Genomic DNA, 18,347 nt, shown 5'->3' with positions numbered 1-18,347 from the left:
CCTTAGATTGTGGTGTTTTAGTTGCTTGTCCGGTTATTTTCCCACTTAGAGATGAACTACCTGAGAAACTACCTGCTAATTTTTTATCTATCTGAGAAAAAAAATAAGTATTTTTGTCTTATTTTAATTTTTTTGATTTCTCAGCATCTACACATAGAATTCTTAATGGAACTTTAATAAAAATATAAGTGAATATGTATGGGCTATATCACTGTATATGCTATAATAATACAGGTTTTGCTCTTCACTTATTGCCCCCAAAATGTATGAATTAATTTTCTTGTTAGCGTTTGTTTCAAGACAGTTCTTTCCCTCTACAAAAGAAATAGGGAACCAGTCTGGAAGTGTCCTGCCATTAGGGCCCTCAGGATCTTCATTATTGTACTCCAAGTTTTTGTTTGTTTGTTTCTTATACTTTAAGTTCTGGGATACATGTGCAGAATGTGCAGATTTGTTACTTAGGTATATATGTGCCATGGTGGTTTGTTGCACCCCATCAACTCGTCATCTACATTAGGTATTTCTCCTAATGCTATCCCTCCCCTTCCTCCCACCCTCTGACAGGCCCCCTGGTACGTGATGTTCCCCTCCCTGTGCCCATATGTTCTCATTATTCAACTCCCATTTATGAGTGAGAATATGTGGTGTTTGGTTTTCTGTTCTTGTGTTAGTTTGCTGAGAATGATGGTTTCCAGCTTCATCCATGTGCCTGCAAAGGACATGAACTCATTCTTTTTTATGGCTGCATAGTATTCCATGGTGTATATGTGCCACATTTTCTTTATCCAGTTTAACGTTGATGGGCATTGGATTGGTTCCAAGTCTTTGCTATTGGGAATAGTGTACTCCAAGTTTTTACTGACTAATATAGATAGAGTTTGTTTTGATTTTATCTAGATTTGTATCCTGAACATTGCCTTAAACTGAACTAATTATGGATAGGGAAATTTAGCAATTCTTCCCAAAGAGTATAGCATATGTTTTGGATATTATTGTTTTCCATTAATTCAAAATATATTTATTTTATCCAAGTATTCTGATATACTGTGGGTACAGAAATGAACAAAACAGTGTCAAACCTCAGGGAACAAAATTATGTTTACAGTATAGCTAATATTTATTGGGAACCTGGGATGTGCTAAGATCTTTGTGTATAATGTTTCATTTTATATTCATAAAAAACATTGAAATAGGGGCCATAGTTAGCCCCTATTTCAAACTAAAATGTAATAAAACTAGAAATTATGTACTGTTTTATGCTAACAAGAGTATATGCTTTTATGCTCCACTAGCATTATATAGTGGAGACAGCAAAAGTTCTGAATTCAGGCATTCCTTCATAGGCTGTGAGATCTTGGGAGCTTTTTTTCCTATCTGATTTTCATTTGTCTTCTGTATATTGAAATAATATTGAATAAGATAATAAGCATAAAGTATAGTTATCCTTCAGTATTCATGGATGATCAGTTCCAGGACCTCTGGTGGATACTAAAATCCATGAATTCTCAAGTCCCTTATGTAAAATGGCATTGAATTTGCATATGACCTACATACTTCTGTATAAATTTTCTCCTGTATAAGTTAAATTATCTCTAGATTACTCATAATACCTAATACAATGTAAATGCTATGTAAATACAGTCATGTGTTGCTTAATGACAGGGATACATTCTGAAAAATGTGTCATTAGGTGATTTCATCATTATGTGAACATCATAGAGTGTGCTTACACAAACCTGGATGATGTAGCCTACTATACACCTAGGCTATATAGTATAGCCTATTGATCCTAGGCGGCAAACCTGTACACCATGTAATTATACTGAATACTGTAGGCAATTGGAACACTGTGCCAAGTATTTGTATAGGTAGGCATATAAAAGATACAGTAAAAACATAGTATAAAAAACCAAAAAATTGATATGCCTATATAGAACAGCTCCTTTGGAATCTTTTGAGATCACTGTTGTATATGCTGCTGGTCATTGACCTAAATGTTATTATGTGGTATGAGACTGTATAGTTGTTACACTATATTGTTCATAATGACAAGATAAAAAGTCTATATGTTCAATATAGATAAAATTTTAATATGTATAGTTTTGATGCGTGGTTGGTTGAATCCACAGATATGGAACCCATGAATACTTGGAACCAACTCTATTTACTGATGTGCATGGCCTAAAGGGTACTTTTTTTTTTTTTTTTTGATACATGGTCACTCTGTCACCCAGGCTGGAGTTCAGTGGTGTGATCATGGCTCACAGCAGCCTCAGCCACCCTGGGCTCAGGTGATCCTCCCACCTCAGCCTCCTGAGTAGCTGGGACTACAGGCAAATGCCACCACATCCAGCTATTTTTTTTGTATTTTTAGTAGAGATGGGATTTGCAATGTACTTTATAATACCTATTCCTGACTGCTGAATGCACTACAATAAATAACAGGTACTTCAGTGGTAAAATATTTAACCAATCCTAAATAGGTTGCTCACTGTGATAACAGGGCTTATTAAAAATACTTTTAAAGACAAATAGACTCTAGGTCAAGAAATTATTTCTCATTGAATGTTTGAACTCTCTATTAATCTGTAAATATTCTTGATTGTTACATCCACACAATATTTTCTGTAGATAATACTTTTCTATTAATTTAATTTCTCATTTGTTTCCTTAAATTTTGTTCATGTACTTTTGATCAATGAGGTTAAATCAATGGATATTTTATATTTGTAATGTTATACTTATAATTTTTTAAATCTTTTAATTTTCTGATCTGTCTTAGGAAATTATTATGAAATAAAAAGCTAGTCAGTGCTGTGTTTGGCAATCTAAAATGTTGTATTTTGCTATCTATAAATGTCATCCACTGCAATGCCTTCATGTAAATGGATAATTTGACTTCCCCATGTAGCTTGTCTAAAGGTTCTTCACCAAAGCAGATACTTTGACAGGCAAAGAAATAGTCCTGCTCTCCATTCCTTGTAAAGACTAATTTTTTACTTTGCTGTGATTTTTCCATAAAGTAATAATCAGAAAAAAAAAATCTCCAAACATTCTCTGACTTCATTAAACTTCATATATTTAAAGATTCTTCTGCAAAGAAAATAACTTTCCATGTTGAGGCTGTCCAGTTTCTATATCAAGAGATGACAATTATTTCAAATGTATTTTCTCTATCAATGAAGACATAAAAATCGAATACTTACCTTAAGTTAATTAAATTACTAATTTTCCCTTGGTTTTACAGCATATATTGTATACCTTACATGCAGGTCTCAAGTTCAAAAGGTTTTCATTTATTTCTTCAGGTGGAGCCAGTGCTTAAACAGTCTTATGATTACATTCCATTTATGACTATATTATTTTCCTAATAAAATTTTGCCTTTTATTTTAAAATAGGAGAATCCTGGAAGATAAATAACATTTTACTCTTTTGCCTTACTTTCTACCTTTCCTTAGATACTTTATGCTTCTGGGAAGGTCTACATGATATTTTTTGTGGTGGTAAGTTTTTTGTTTTCCTTTTATATGGCAAGTTTGTTCTTAGGCATACTTGCCATGGCCTATGAAGAAGAAAAGCAGAGAGTTGGTGAAATATCTAAGAAGATTGAACCAAAATTTCAACAGACTGGAAAAGAACTTCAAGAAGGAAATGAAACAGATGAGGTATCTATATCTATCTATCTATCTATCTATCTATCTATCTATATATATATATATATATATATATATTTTAGTCTTGAAACAGCAATCATTTATTTGCTCATGATTCTATGGCTTAGGCTCTGTTAAGACAGTTCATTGCTGGTCCCATGGTGGTCACAGATTCCAAAAAACAGCAGGGGAGCAAGCACCATGCCAAGTGCTTTAAGGCTCTGCTTGTGTCAACATTTGTTATTGTCCAGTGGGTAAAGCAAGTAACATGGCCAAGGTTAGAGTTAAGGTGGAAAGAGATTTCCTAAGGGTATAAATAAAAAGAAGGAAATTTGTGGCCATTTTTGCAAATAATCTACCACACTTATGATATTTTTTTGTTTGGGTTTTAGTTCCTTTTCTCAGTGATGGTGGTGTTCTTTTATTTTTCTATGCAGTTTTAAATTTTTAAATTTTTTATAATTTCAACCCTTTTTGGAATTTTAAATAGTTGCTTTATTAGAGCATCTTTTTATTATTATTATACTGGATATATGTCCAGTTCTGGATATATGCCTAGAACGTGCAGGTTTGTTACATAGGTATACATCTGCCATGGTGGTTTGCCACACCCATCAACCTGTCATCTACATTAGATATTTCTCCTAATGCTATTGCTCCCCTTGCCCCCACCCCCGACAGGTCCTGATGTGTGATGTTCCCCTCCCTGTGCCCATGTGCTCTCATTGTTCAACTTCCACTTATGAGTGAGAACATGCGGTGTTTGGTCTTCTTTTCCTGTGTTAGTTTGCTAAGAATGATGGTTTCCAGCTTCATCCATATCCCTGCAAAGGATGTGAACTCATTCTTTTTCATGGCTGCATAGTATTTCATGGTTGCATAGTATTTCATGGTGTATATGTGCCACATTTTCTTTATGTAGTCTAACGATACTGGCAAACCAAATCCAGCAGCACATTAAAAAGCTTATCCTCCATGATCAAGTCGGCTTCATATCTGGGATGCAAGCCTGGTTCAAAATAAGTAAAACAATAAATGTAATCCATCACATAAACAGAATCAGTGGCAAAAACCACATGATTATCTCAATAGATGCAGAAAGGGCCTTCGATAAAATTCAACACCCCTTCATGCTAAAAACACTCAATAAACTAGGTATTGATGGAACATATCTCAAAATTTCAACTTTTAGATTCAGGGGCTACATGTGCAGGTTTGTTATGTGGGTATATTGTGTGACAGTGAGGCTTGGGGTACAAATGATCCCATCACCCAGGTAGCGTTTGGTACCCAACAAGCAGTTTTTCAGCCCTTGCCCTTCCCCTTCTCTTCCCCCTCTAGTAGTCCCCAAGGTCTGTTGTTCCCATTATTAGGTCCATGTTTGCCCAGTGCTGAGCCCCCACTTAGTAACTGAGAACATGCAGTATTTAGTTTTCTGTTCCTGTGTTAATTCACTTAGGATAATGGCCTCCAGCTGCATCCATGTTGCTGCAAATGACATGGTTTCATTTTTTTTTTTCTAATGCTTCTTAAAATCACAGTGCTAGAGGTGTCTTTTTAAGGTCTTGGAGTACATTGCCTTCTAATAGATGTTTATATCTGTGTGTGGTACATAATCAGAAGATCAAAAAATATTTCAATAAGAGAGCTTGCTTTTGCTACAACTTTGAAAAATGTCTGGTGTTAATGCAAAAGTGACAGAACCTTCCATAATTTAGAAATTAGAAAGTACTAAAAGGATGGATAAAATTACAGTACTGAAGTTGTAGACAGAAATAAAATTACTTTATTGGCTTTCTAGTTCTTTCCAGAGGAAATGCACTATGTATCATAGTACAGGGAATTATTTTATTCCTGAAATAATTAAATCCAGATTAATAAAGCCTAACAATGTTTTACTGTAATTGTCAATTACCTTAGTGTTGTGCTTTAATATTTTTTTCAGATTCTTTAGCCTCATAGCAAAAACTTTGGTCTATTAGTTTGAAAGTATTGACAGAAGTAGCATTAAGGAAGTTTTCGAAAATTGTCTTTAAAAATCTAAACTGCCATAAGTGTGCTTAAAGAAAGGACCAGATGGTAGAAAGCAAACAGAAGTAGCTTTCTAATATTCTGCAGGACCTGGCAATCTCACATCTCTTCTTTGAACTACCTTTCTGATAAATGGGAAAAAGGTCTATATTGAGCCAGAGAACGAAAAATAGAGAGAAGCCATACCCGGAGCCCTCTCTATAAAGAGATAAAAAGACAAGGGGAAAAGTGAAGGGCCGAGATACACTCTGCCACGAAGTGGAATATATAGTAAGGTACATTAATACCAAAGGTCCCTACTAAGTCAAAGAGGGAAATGTTAACTCCCCTGTATATAACCCTTTTATTAAGTCATGACCAGTCAAGAAGCTTTAGAAAGCTATTGTACCAAAAGGTGGAATCTGAACGACATGATGTAAGATCATACTGAATGACTCTATAGCTACTTGTGTCCATAACATGCATACCATTGAACAAGAAGCAGTTGTGGACTGTGTGAAGAAAACATGTATAAAAAAGCCTATTGAGTATTCCCATTATATATGAGTAAGCCACAGAAAAACAAATTTCAAAAGCTTTCTGTTTCTAAGAAATGAGTCCGGGGTCCTTCAGATTGAGTGATTAGGGTTTGAATGATATGTTGAATGTGTAATTTGTTCTGAAGTGGCATTTCACAATCTTAAGGGCTTATGGCTGCACTCAATTGTATCCAAGAATGTAACAATACTTCTCTGATCCCAGATGAAATGTTTTATTAACTCTTCTTATGAAGAACTTGGATATTTCCCAATTTTACCATATTTCCACTCATTTTTCTGCTCTGGATCCCATTTTCTGATTTTTATTAAAATGTTTAATTATAACCCATTTCTTTTCCTGGAAGATTCCTAGAACATTTTATCATGAAGAATTTTCTAGGAAGTAAGAGTATACATTATTTGTACAAGAATTTTCCTCTTTTATTTATAAATACAAAAAATTAGAAAAAATAATGTAAAATGGAACAAACTGAGGGCTCTACAGGTCACTGATCTGCTTGCAAACCAGTCAGATGTCAGTTCTGATGCTGGAATTGCCGGGATATTGCTTAGGTGCTTCATATCCTCATGTTATAGGAAAACTGTTGGTCATATTGGCTAAAAGCACAGCTCTGCAGTTAGATAAATATGGATTTCAGCCTAATTTAGCTACTTAATAGATGAATGATGTTTGCCAAGTTTGTTAGCTTTTCTAAACTTCAACTTTTTTATCTGTAAAATGTATATAAAGAACCTATCTTATGGGTTGTAGTGAGGTCCAAATGAAATAAATGCATGTAAAGCACTAAGCTGTGCTTACACTATACTAAGCAACTGAAAAAATTTTATGAAGACTATTAATAAAATTATTATGACATGTCAATATTATGCATCATGTAGAAGATAGCTTTTATACAAACTATTGCGGTCAGCAATCTATATTAAGAACACTTGATTTTTATGGAAAAAGTCAGATTGAATAAACTCACATTTTAGAAGTGAATTATCTCATAACAATATAATAACATTAATATCATGCAACATTTATTGCTTATTTACTGTGTTTCAGACTCTATGCTAAATTTTTACATACACTGTTGCCTTTCTACTGTGACAACCCTTTGAGGTACTGGAATTATCTCAATATTTCACATAAGAAAACTGAGGTTCAGTCTCCAAAGTGGGAAATGTAGAACTAGCCATAATATTAAACAAGATATTAAAATGTTTATGTTATTATACTATAAAATGTAATTCATGTTAATAAAGTTCATAAATAATCACTCGTTAATTATAGATAACACAACAAGGCAAACACAAGAACGCATGGCTGTTTCAACAGAGAAACACCCAGCAACATAAAATTCTTGTCTTTGACTATATTTAGGGATAATTAAAATAACAATAAAAATGACGATAGCAGTCACATAAAATGTTTATTGAGTGTCAGATATGCACCAGACATATGATAAGTACCATCATGAATTTTCAAGTTTAATCCTTATTGAGGAGTTCCAGCTGCAGAGATTGATCTATACTCACTGATATTTGATTTCACAACACTGAGGAATACAATCCATCATTTACCACTTCACTTCCTGGTTCTGGAGGTTCAGTGCTGAAACAGTTTCATTCCTTGCAGGTGAAACTTTCTTATGAATTGTCAACTACTGGCAAAATCTCAGGAAGATAATCATGTATATAAAATTGTAGAAATACAAATATTTTTAAAAAATATTTGCCACATTAAAATGATAGTCATAATTCATGTAACGAATTAAAAAATGATTGACAATTGTACAAAGCACTGGATATAAAGAGTTTTAATAAATACAAATAGAGTGTCTATCTTCATGAAGCTAATTGTCTAATGGATAGATAGACTATCAAATTATCATAAACACTAAATTGTATCTGAAGGACAAAAAATTATGTGTTTCTAGCTATTATGGAATAGAAAACACAAAATACCAGATACAGTATATTCTTCCTAAAATTTAAGTCTAATAAGCATCTTGATCCAATTGCTTTTTTTTCTCAGAGACTGTAAGAGAGGAATACATTAAATTACACTGAAATGATATAATCTTCCAAATAAAGAATGTGAAAAAGTCTAAAGTATAAACAACCCAGAATCTTTAAAAAATAAATCATGTTGGAAAAAATAAATTAAAATTACAAGATAATTGATAAAACTGCCAAGTAAATGTTTGGACCTTGTTTGTATTTTGATTAGAACAAATCAACTGTAATGATGTTTTTGAGTAATTAAATTGAGTATAATTTGAGTATTGGTTAGTATTAAGGAATTACTAATTTTGCTAATTGTGATAATGGTGTTGTGATTTATATTTTTAATATTTTATCTGAAAAGTGTATTATCTCTGAAATTTATTTAAAATAAATATTTCAGAAAATAAGTAGAGTGAATAAATGAAAAAGGAAAAATAGACCACTAATAATTGTTGAGGCTGGATATTAGTTACTTGGTGGTTCACATTATTCTCTGCTTTAATAAATTAAAGGAAACTGGGGCAAGTGGAATGAAGCAGAGAGGCATGGTCCTTTGAGGGCCTTTTGTAAAGGATTCTCTGAGTCGGAAAAGGTTTCTATGAGAAACTGACACTTCAGTTGAGATGTGAAGAATGTGTCCAGGCTAAATAGATGGAGTGGGCAGGGTGAGTCAGAGAAGTAAAAAGGCCAGCATGGCTGCAGGAAAGAGTAACCCTGAGTCCATGACAAACTTGTCAGATATTCAGGTAAATGTGAGACATGTGACTAAGTTCTTCCTTATTACTACCTCCCCTCCAAAAAATACTTAAACTAGTTTTGAGAAAAAGAATCCTAGCCCCCTTTTCCAGTTTAATTTTAATATTGGGTTGTCAAAAGTTCAGGCATATGCCCTTATTAGCTCTTAAATATCCACAGAGGAAGGGTGTTGAGTAACAATCCTCTCAATTTTCACTGTAAAATAGCTATATCCTTAGTATTTGACCAATGTGTGGGCATTTATTCAGTATTTATAAGAAGCTCAATCAAGGTAAATATATTACTAGACAGACCTGTGGTTTATTCATTTCATATTCTAAAATCTATCCATAGTTGAAGCCAAATTAGTAGAGAATTGAGCACTGACTTTATCAACGACAATATTATTACCATGTACTTTATTCCCCATTCCCCAACCCTGGACAGTTATCTTTACTGAATTGCTTCTTAATGCGATTCCAACAAACATTGTCCCTATCTGAAACAGCTCTATGAAGAGTAATTAATTCATCTCAATTAAGGATATATTCAAGGATATTATTCAATATGTCACACAGTGTCATCTTTATGAGAGATACATATAAGAAATCCCCGTCGGATCTTAATAACAAAAAATTACTTCTATTGGTTTTTAATCTCACGAAAATTTGGAATTGCATAAATTACAACTTACATTTTATGTAATCTTATAGTTCAGCTAAGAATAGTTTCTAGAATAAGCATAGTTTAAACAAACAAAAAAAATCTAACCCTTACATCCTGAACTTTTTTGAGACAGAGTCTCACTCTGTCGCCAGGCTGGAGTGCAGTGGCGCAATCTGGTCTCACTGCAACCTCTGCCTCCCAGGTTCAAGCAACTCTCCTGCCTCAGCCTCCCGAGTAGCTGGGACTATAGGCGCGCCCTAACACATCCAGCTAATTTTTGTATTTTTAGTAGAGACGGGGTTTCACCATGTTGGCCAGGATGATCTCCTGACCTCGTGATCTGCTCGCCTCGGCCTCCCAAAGTGCTGGGATTACAGGCGTGAGCCACCACACCCGTCCACATCCTGAACTTTTAGATTACTTTTTTTTTAAATTTCTTTTCTTTTTCTCAACTTTTATTTTAGATTCGAGGGTACATGTGCAGGCGTTACATGGGCAAATTGCATGTCACTGAGGTTTGGTGTAGGAATGATCCTATCACCCAGGTAGTGAGCGATAGGCAGTCCTTCAACCCTTGCCCACCCGCAAGCCTTCCCCCTCTAGTAGTCCCCAGTGCCCGATGTCTGTTGTTCCCATCTTAATGTCCATGTGTACACAAAGTTTAGCTGTCACTTAAAAGTGAGAACGTATGGTATTTGGTTTTCTGTTCCTGCATTAACTGGCTTAGGATAATGGACTCCAGCTGCGTCCATGTTCATCAAGCTGCAAAGGACATGATTTTGTTCTTCTTTAGAGTGGTATAGTATTCCAGGGTACTACATTTTCTTTATTTAGTCTACTGTTAATGGGCATCTGGATTGATCCCTTGTCCTTGCTGTTGTGAATAGTGCTGTGATTAACATACAAGTGAGTGTGTCTTTTTGGTAGAATGATTTATATTCCTTTGGGTATATACTCAGTATTGGGGGTGCTGGCTCTAATGGTAACTCTGTTTTAAGTTATTTGAGAAATATCCAAACTGCTTTCCACATTGGCTGAACTTACATTCCCACTAGCAGTGTACAAGCATTCCAATTTCTCCACAACCTCACCAACATCTGTTTTGTTTTTGTTTTTGTTTTTGTTTTTTTTGGTCTTTTTAGTAATAGTCCTTCTTACTGGTGGGAGATGATTTCTTATTGTGGTTTTGACTTTCTTTTCTCTAATGATTACTGAGGTTGAGCATTTTATCATGTATGTGTTGACCACAGTATACCTTCTTTGGGGAAGTGTCTGTTCAGGTACTTTACCCACTGGAAAAAAAAGAGGAACTGGAGCTCTGTAGACCTGCAGAGTCTGTCGCTGGTCTGAGGAAACACAGTATGCAGTATAATTGGCTTTATCCTCCTCTAGCTCTAGTATTTGTGAAATTACAGGGGGCTTGACTGATAGTGAAATAATATAATGATTTCCATGGTATCTATTATGCCATTTAAGATATACCACAGCAGAACTTGCCAACCAGAATGTTGGGTTGGGTATTGGCAAGCCTCAACCATTAACTCCCTCAGTGCTGGGACAGTGGCAGCCCCTATGTCAGTTAACTCTATTCAAGAGCAGCCTTTACCTCAAGTTAACAAATATACAGATATATCATCCTTTGCTTGTGTCAAATGTAAAAACAGGGATCACTATAGTGTAATATCATCCATCCATTGTCTGGTTCTAAAAATTTAAATTCAAATACTGTTTTACATCTGATCACTGGAAACATCTATGGCCACACTCCTGAGAGTTATCAATGCATAGAATTTGTAATATCTACAACAAAGCCTGGGAGTTTTAACTGTCTTACCAATGTAAAATCAGTAAAGCAGAAGATCTCTTAAAACCATTATTCAAGAGACATGATAAACAAAAATAAGTAATTATCTTACAGAATTATGCCTGTCCTACTCATTTAATATCATACATGGTCTATCTAAGACAACCCTTATAAATCCATTCCATTACTTGTTATTCTTCAAGACTTATCACAATGCCAAATAATTTTTTATTTTGTCAAGAGCATTTACAAAGTTATAAAGTTAACATTATCCTAAAAAAGTTTAAGATGTTAGAAAAATACTCTGTTATTACTTAGTACTATGTTTCCTGATTTGATACTTTGCAATAATCCTAAACTATATATTGAATTACTTGTCAAATATGGATCATACCACAACCATTTCCTGGTCTTGCTCCTTTTGTATTTGACCTCAGACCTCACAGTATAAAATTTTATTTAATTTTAAGAACTCCTAAATCAGTTTAATAACTGCCTAAAGATTGGCAAGTGATAAAACCCAAAAATTCTTTTGGAACGCTATTAGTGGGATTGTAAGTTAGTACAGCCATTATGGAAACAGTATGGAGGTTCCTCAAAAAACTAAAAATAGAGCTACCATATCATCCAGGGATCCCACTGCAGGGTATGTACTCAAAAGAAAGAAAGTCAGCATATTGAAGAAATATCTGTACTCCCATGTTTATTACAGTATTATTCACAATAGCCAAGACATGAATAAACTTAAGTGTCTATCAATGGACACATGAATAAATAAAATATAGTATATACACAATGGAGTATTATTCAGCCATTAAAAAGAATAAAGTCTTGTCATTTGCAGCAACATGGATGGAACTTGAGGTTATGTTAAGTGAAATAAGCCAGGCACAGAAAGACCAACTTCACATGTTTTCAGTCATATGTGGGAGCTAAAAATGTGGATCTCATAAAAGTAGATAGTTTATTGGTGGTTACCAGAGCCTGCAAAGGGTATGTATGAGGGGGTATGAAGAGAGGTTAGCCAATGGCTACAAAAAATATGGTTAAATAGAAGGAATAAGATCTAGTGTTCAATAGTATAGTACAGTGACTCTAATTAATAATTTATTATATAGTTCAAAATAGCTGTAGGAGAGGAATTGAAATGTTATCAATACAAAGAAAAGATAAATGTTTCAGATGATATGTATTCCAATTAACCTGACTTGATCATTATACATTGTATGCATGTATGAAAATACCACATATACCCCTCAAATATGTACAATGATTATGTATCAATTTAATAAAAAGAAAAGGCTCCGGGAGAATAAGTGGCATTTTTAGCAAGGCTGTGCACCTTCTTATAGTCTTGGACCTGCAAAGACAGGAAGCCAGTATTAAACCATCAAATTCCTTTTCAGGCCAAGACCATACAAATAGAAATGAAGAAAAGGTCACCAATTTCCACAGACACATCATTGGATGTGTTGGAAGATGCTACTCTCAGACATAAGGAAGGTAAAGTACTAAATAAGTAGACACTCACTATTGAAGGTACTACTCATAAAATTCACTTTTAAAGAAATTCAGCAATTTCTTCAGAATCTTAGATGGTAATAACAAAAATTTAAGAAATATTTGAGAATATTAGGATAAACCATGTATAAAAATTTTAGAATCATGGTGTTTTAAACATTGGAAAGAGTGACCAAAGAGTACCAAATAATTTTCTTTGTTTAACATTAAAAACATATTGACATATTAACTTGTGACTAAATATAGAGATTGTGGTATATAACATTAATATCTCAAGGTCCCTTCTAGACTTATCTCTATATTTTTATGTGTAACCAATAATTATTTATCATGGACAATATCAAAAGGCATTAATTTGTAAAGCATGTATATCTAGACATTGTAAGTCACAATGTTCTCAACTATGTTCCATATTTGTTTTCTTGAGAGATGTCCCTACATTTTTCTTCTAATACACGTTCGCTTCATTTTCTTTTGTCTAAGCCAAGCATGAACACAATAGAGGAAATTCAATTCATTCAGCTTTTTTATTTTCACACACAGATTTTTTTAAATTAAACTTTAAGTTCTGGGATACATGTGCAGGACGTGCAGGTTTGCTACACAGGTATACATGTGCCATGATGATCTGCTGCATCCATCAACCCATCATCCAGGTCTTAAGCTCCGCATGCATTAGGCACTTTTCCCAATGTTCTCCCTTCCTTTGCCCCCTACCCACCGACAGGTCCCTGCGTGTGATGCCCACCTCCCTGTGTCCATGTGTTCTCATTGTTCAACTAACTCCCACCCATGAGTGAGGACATGCGGTGTTTGGTTCCTGTTCCTATGTTAGTTTTCTGAGAATGATGGTTTCCAGCTTCATCCATGTCCCTGCAAAGGACATAAACTCATTCTTTTTTATGGCTGCATAGTGTTCCATAGTGTATATGTGCCACATTTTCTTTATTTAGTCTATCATTGATGTGTATTTGGGCTGGTTCCAAGTCTTTGCTATTGTGAATAGCGCTGCAATGAACATACGTGTGCATGTGTCTTTATGGTAGAACGATTCATAATCCCTTGGATATATACCCAGTAATGAGACTGCTGGGTCAAATGGTATTTCTGGTTCTAGATCCTTGAGGAATCGCCACACTGTCTTCCACAATGGTTGAGCTAATTTACATTCCCACCAACAGTGTAAAAACTTTCTTATTTCTCCACATCCCTGCCTGCATCTGTTGTTTCCTGACTTTTTAATGAGCACAATTCTAACAGGCGTGAAATGGTGTCTCATTGTGGTTTTGATTTGCATTTCTATAATGACTAGTGATGATGAGCTTTTTTTCAAATGTTTGTTGGCCACACAAATGTCTTCTTTTGGGAAGTATCTGTTCATATCCTTCGCCCACTTTTTGATGGGGTTTTTTCTTCTAAATTTATTTAAGTTCCTTGAAGATTCTGGATATTAGACCTTTGCCAGATGGATAGATTGCAAAAATTTTCTCCCATTCTGTAGGTTGTCTGTTCACTCTGATGATAGTTTCTTTTGCTGTGCAGAAGCTCTTTAGTTTAATTAGATCCCATTTGTCAATTTTGGCTTTTGTTGTCATTGCTTTTGGTGTTTTAGTCATGAAGGCTTTGCCCATGCTTATGTTCTGAATCGTATTGCCTAGGTTTTCTTCTAGGTTTTTATGGTTTTAGGTTTCACATTTAAGTCTTTAATCCATCTTGAGTTAGTTTTTGTATATGGTGGAAGGATGGGGTCCAGTTTCTGTTTTCTGCATATGGCTAGCCAGTTTTCCCAGCATCATTTATTAAATAGGGAATCCTTTCCCCATCGCTTGTTTTTGTCGAATCCAGCAGCACGTCAAAAAGCTTATCCACCATGATCAAGTCAGCTTCATCCTGGGGATGCAAGGCTGTGGTTAGTTGTCTCACACCGAGATGATTAGCAACATGGACACACATGTGAAGTGGGTTAAGGAGCAGAAAGTTTAACAGACAAAAAAGAGAGAGAGAGAGAAAGCTTGCTCCTGCTGAGAAAGTGGGTCGCCCAAGAGAGGGTTTCCCTTCATTCAGTTTTTTATTAGGATAGAGTATTTCTGTTTTTGAATTCCATATCAGAATTCTATCCTCAAATCTCCCTTTGCATGCAAAAGTCAAAATTGTCTATTAGTTCGTTAGAACTTTAAACAATTTGAGAATGTTTAACCTTCCTCCCTCCCTCCCTCCCCTCTTCCTTCCTTCCTTCCTTCTTTCCTTCCTTCCTTCCTTCCTTTTTTCCTTCTTTCTTTTGGCAGAGTCTCACTCTGTTGCCCAGGCTGGAGTGCAGTGGCACAATCTCAGCTCACTGCAATCTCTGCCTCCCAGGTTCAAGCAATTCTCCTCCCTCGGCCTCCCGAGTAGCTGGGGTTACAGGCATCCACCACCACACCCAACTATTTTTTGTATTTTTTGTAGAGACAAAGTTTCACTATATTGACCAGGCTGGTCTCGAACTCCTGAACTTAAGTGATTCACCCACCTCGGCTTCCCAAAGTGCTGGGATTACAGGCATGAGCCACTGCACCCGGCCAGAATGTTTAACTTTTGTATTCTTTCATTTCAGAACTTGAAAAATCCAAGAAGATATGCCCATTATACTGGTATAAGTTTGCTAAAACTTTCTTGATCTGGAATTGTTCTCCCTGTTGGTTAAAATTGAAAGAGTTTGTCCATAGGATTATAATGGCACCATTTACTGATCTTTTCCTTATCATATGCATAATTTTAAACGTATGTTTTCTGACCTTGGAGCATTATCCAATGAGTAAACAAACTAACACTCTTCTCAACATTGGAAACCTGGTAAGACTCTCATTGTACATTATTTTCATTTGCAGTTTCTTAGTTATCATTGAACTTTTCTTTGTTCATCATTATTCCCATTATTTTATTCTGTAACTCCAATATGTTGCAATATGCATTATTATTGAATGAAGCATTGTGTTTATGCTTTATCCCTCCAACCCCTGCTTTCTAAATGTTCTTATCATTGAATAGTTTTACAGCTGGAATTTAAAATTCCCCAGTTTAAATTTGGGATTCCTAGCCAGATGCTTGGCAGTTACATTACATGGAAATTATTTATTGCCCCTCCCTTCCCAAATATACAGTCTCTTGGTACCATTAGCTCATAGATCAGAGTAGGGCAGAAGTGAAATAACAGGCACCTGACTCCTGAATTCTTAATTCTGATTAAAACAGCAGTTGGCCCTGTCTGTTCTAACCATGTATCTTTGCCCAGGATTGGAACTTACCATTTTAGCCTGGTATTTTTGAGATTCACCAGTCCTTTTTCACATACAATGCAAAAGACAAAACATATTCCTGTGAGTTTAAAAATAAGTCACATTCAAGCAAATGTATATTGTTTAAATGTATTTTCTTTCACCATTGTTGTTGTTTAGTTGCTTGGTACTAATAAAAACAGCCAAACTGCTAGAAGTTTCAAATTATACATTTATTTGGTACCAAAACAGCAATTTAGTGATTTCTGCCAGTACAGTTTTTAAAGGACAGCTTCCATAGGTTCATGCTATGTTTTCTCAGAGGATGAAAAATTAAATATCATATCATGTACTCTGTACCTCAAAAATAACTATTCAAAATTGAAAGGGCTTCACCCTGAAATATTCTTTTGTTTTCTTCGAGGATCAATTTTATTAAAATAATAAAAGATTCTGTATATAGTGTTTGACATTAGATTGTTAAATAAAATGTATGAGTCTGTCCTTACAATGCAGACTCTACAACTAACCAGATATTGACAGAGAAGCTGTGAAGAATGTGAGAGTGACAAGTAAACAGTGTGTGTCACAGATTTTGTGTGTGAAGATTCTGATACAGCTATTGGAATCATATTCTCACCTATGTATTTGGTTTTGATTTAGGTTTTCATTGGAATTTTCACAGCAGAAATGATTTTTAAAATAATTGCAATGCATCCATATGGGTATTTCCAAGTAGGTTGGAACATTTTTGATAGCATGATAGTGTTCCATGGTTTAATAGAACTTTGTCTAGCAAATGTTGCAGGAATGGCTCTTCTTCGATTATTCAGGATGGTAAGTAGAATCCAATACCTAACTTTTATTTGATCAAAGTTTATCTCAGTGTCTGCAGACATAAAATGGGGTTACAGTAATACCTATCCCATTGGGACATTGGGAGCATTAAATGAATTGATTAGTATATAAAGAGTTTATTGCCAAGGAAAGAGTAAGCAGTCTCCAATGCTGTTATTTGACCACAGTGTTAAAAGAAATAATGCCATATAGGCAGCAAATTTGAGATACAGTTTTAGGAAGCAGGGTCAGGGTAACTGAGTACATTTTGGAAAGCAAGAAAATGAGGAGTCTCCAAAGTAGAATTCTAATATGTCACCAAGAAGCCGAAATAAGGTGAGTATTTCTAAATGTCAGGTATAAAGGAAGACCAGTCAGACCAGGAGAATGTTATTATGATAATTATTAGGTAAAAATCAGTGTATGTCTATGGGGTAGGGTAATGGTGAGACTCAGAAAATTAAACAAGGGAATAACGTTATGAGAATATTGTTTATTGAAATGATATGCTTTAGATAAGTTATACATGGTCACATTCTGGTGACAGGTTGAAGGAATGTAGCAGGAATTAAGAACAATTAAGTCCATTTAATCTTATTCTAATGGTTACTTCCTAGAGGGCAGCTCATTCAGAATCCTGTCTTAGATCCTCATCCATAACCTTTTCTAATGAATAAGAGAAATATATACAGGATGTTGTCACCAAATTTATGGATGAAACAACACTGGCAATTGCAGAAAATGTGCTAAAAGATAGTATCAAAATATTTTAAAGGCTAGTAATAGACTGAATTTAAGATGATTAATTTTTTTCATAGATAAATGTAAGATCTCACTGTTGAGTTCAGAAAGACAGCTGAACACTAGAAAAAGTCAAGAAGTGAGGCCAGGAATTTGGAACCAGCCTGGGCAACATAGTGAGACTCCAATTCTAAAAAAAAATAAAAAATTAGTCACAGTGGTGGTTCATGTCTGTAGTGTCAGCTACTCAGGAGGCTAAGGTGGGAGGATCACTTGGGCCTAGGAGTTGGAGGCTGCAGTGAGCTATGATTGTGCTTCTGCACTCAGTCTGGGTGACAGAGAGAGACTCTGTCAAACAAACAAAAAAAAATTGAAAAGAAAGTGTCAGGAAGGTATAGCCTATATAAAAATGATGTATGAGATCTAATCGACAGTAAGTTTACTGTGATACAGTGACCAAAAATATTAAGGTAATCTTGTTCTGTATAAACAGAAATTTGAAAAAATCTAGTGAAAGGAAGGGGACTATTCAATATAAACCTAGAATGTTGTGTTTGGTCTTTGACATGTTAT

General features: G+C 34.9%; 1 protein-coding gene across 9 annotated transcripts in view; it reads left to right on the top strand.

Moving 5' to 3' along the window:
- The window catches only part of SCN7A (sodium voltage-gated channel alpha subunit 7), a 90,677-nt gene that overhangs the window by 33,714 nt on the left and 38,616 nt on the right, over window positions 1–18,347 (top strand). For all 9 annotated transcript variants that reach the window (NR_045628.1, XM_006712680.3, NM_002976.4 and 6 more), the window contains 4 exons: window positions 3,460–3,666; window positions 12,828–12,924; window positions 15,536–15,774; window positions 16,860–17,033. Coding sequence is in view for 8 of the 9 variants with exons in the window: in XM_006712680.3 (XP_006712743.1) it covers window positions 3,460–3,666; window positions 12,828–12,924; window positions 15,536–15,774; window positions 16,860–17,033 (717 nt within the window). In the remaining variant the exon portion in view is untranslated. The remainder of the gene's footprint in view (window positions 1–3,459; window positions 3,667–12,827; window positions 12,925–15,535; window positions 15,775–16,859; window positions 17,034–18,347) is intronic.

This window comes from Homo sapiens, chromosome 2 (genome assembly GCF_000001405.40).
Source record: "Homo sapiens chromosome 2, GRCh38.p14 Primary Assembly".
NCBI lineage: Eukaryota > Metazoa > Chordata > Mammalia > Primates > Hominidae > Homo > Homo sapiens.
Note: the sequence above shows the minus strand (reverse complement) of the source record. Positions and strands in the feature narration are given on the sequence as shown.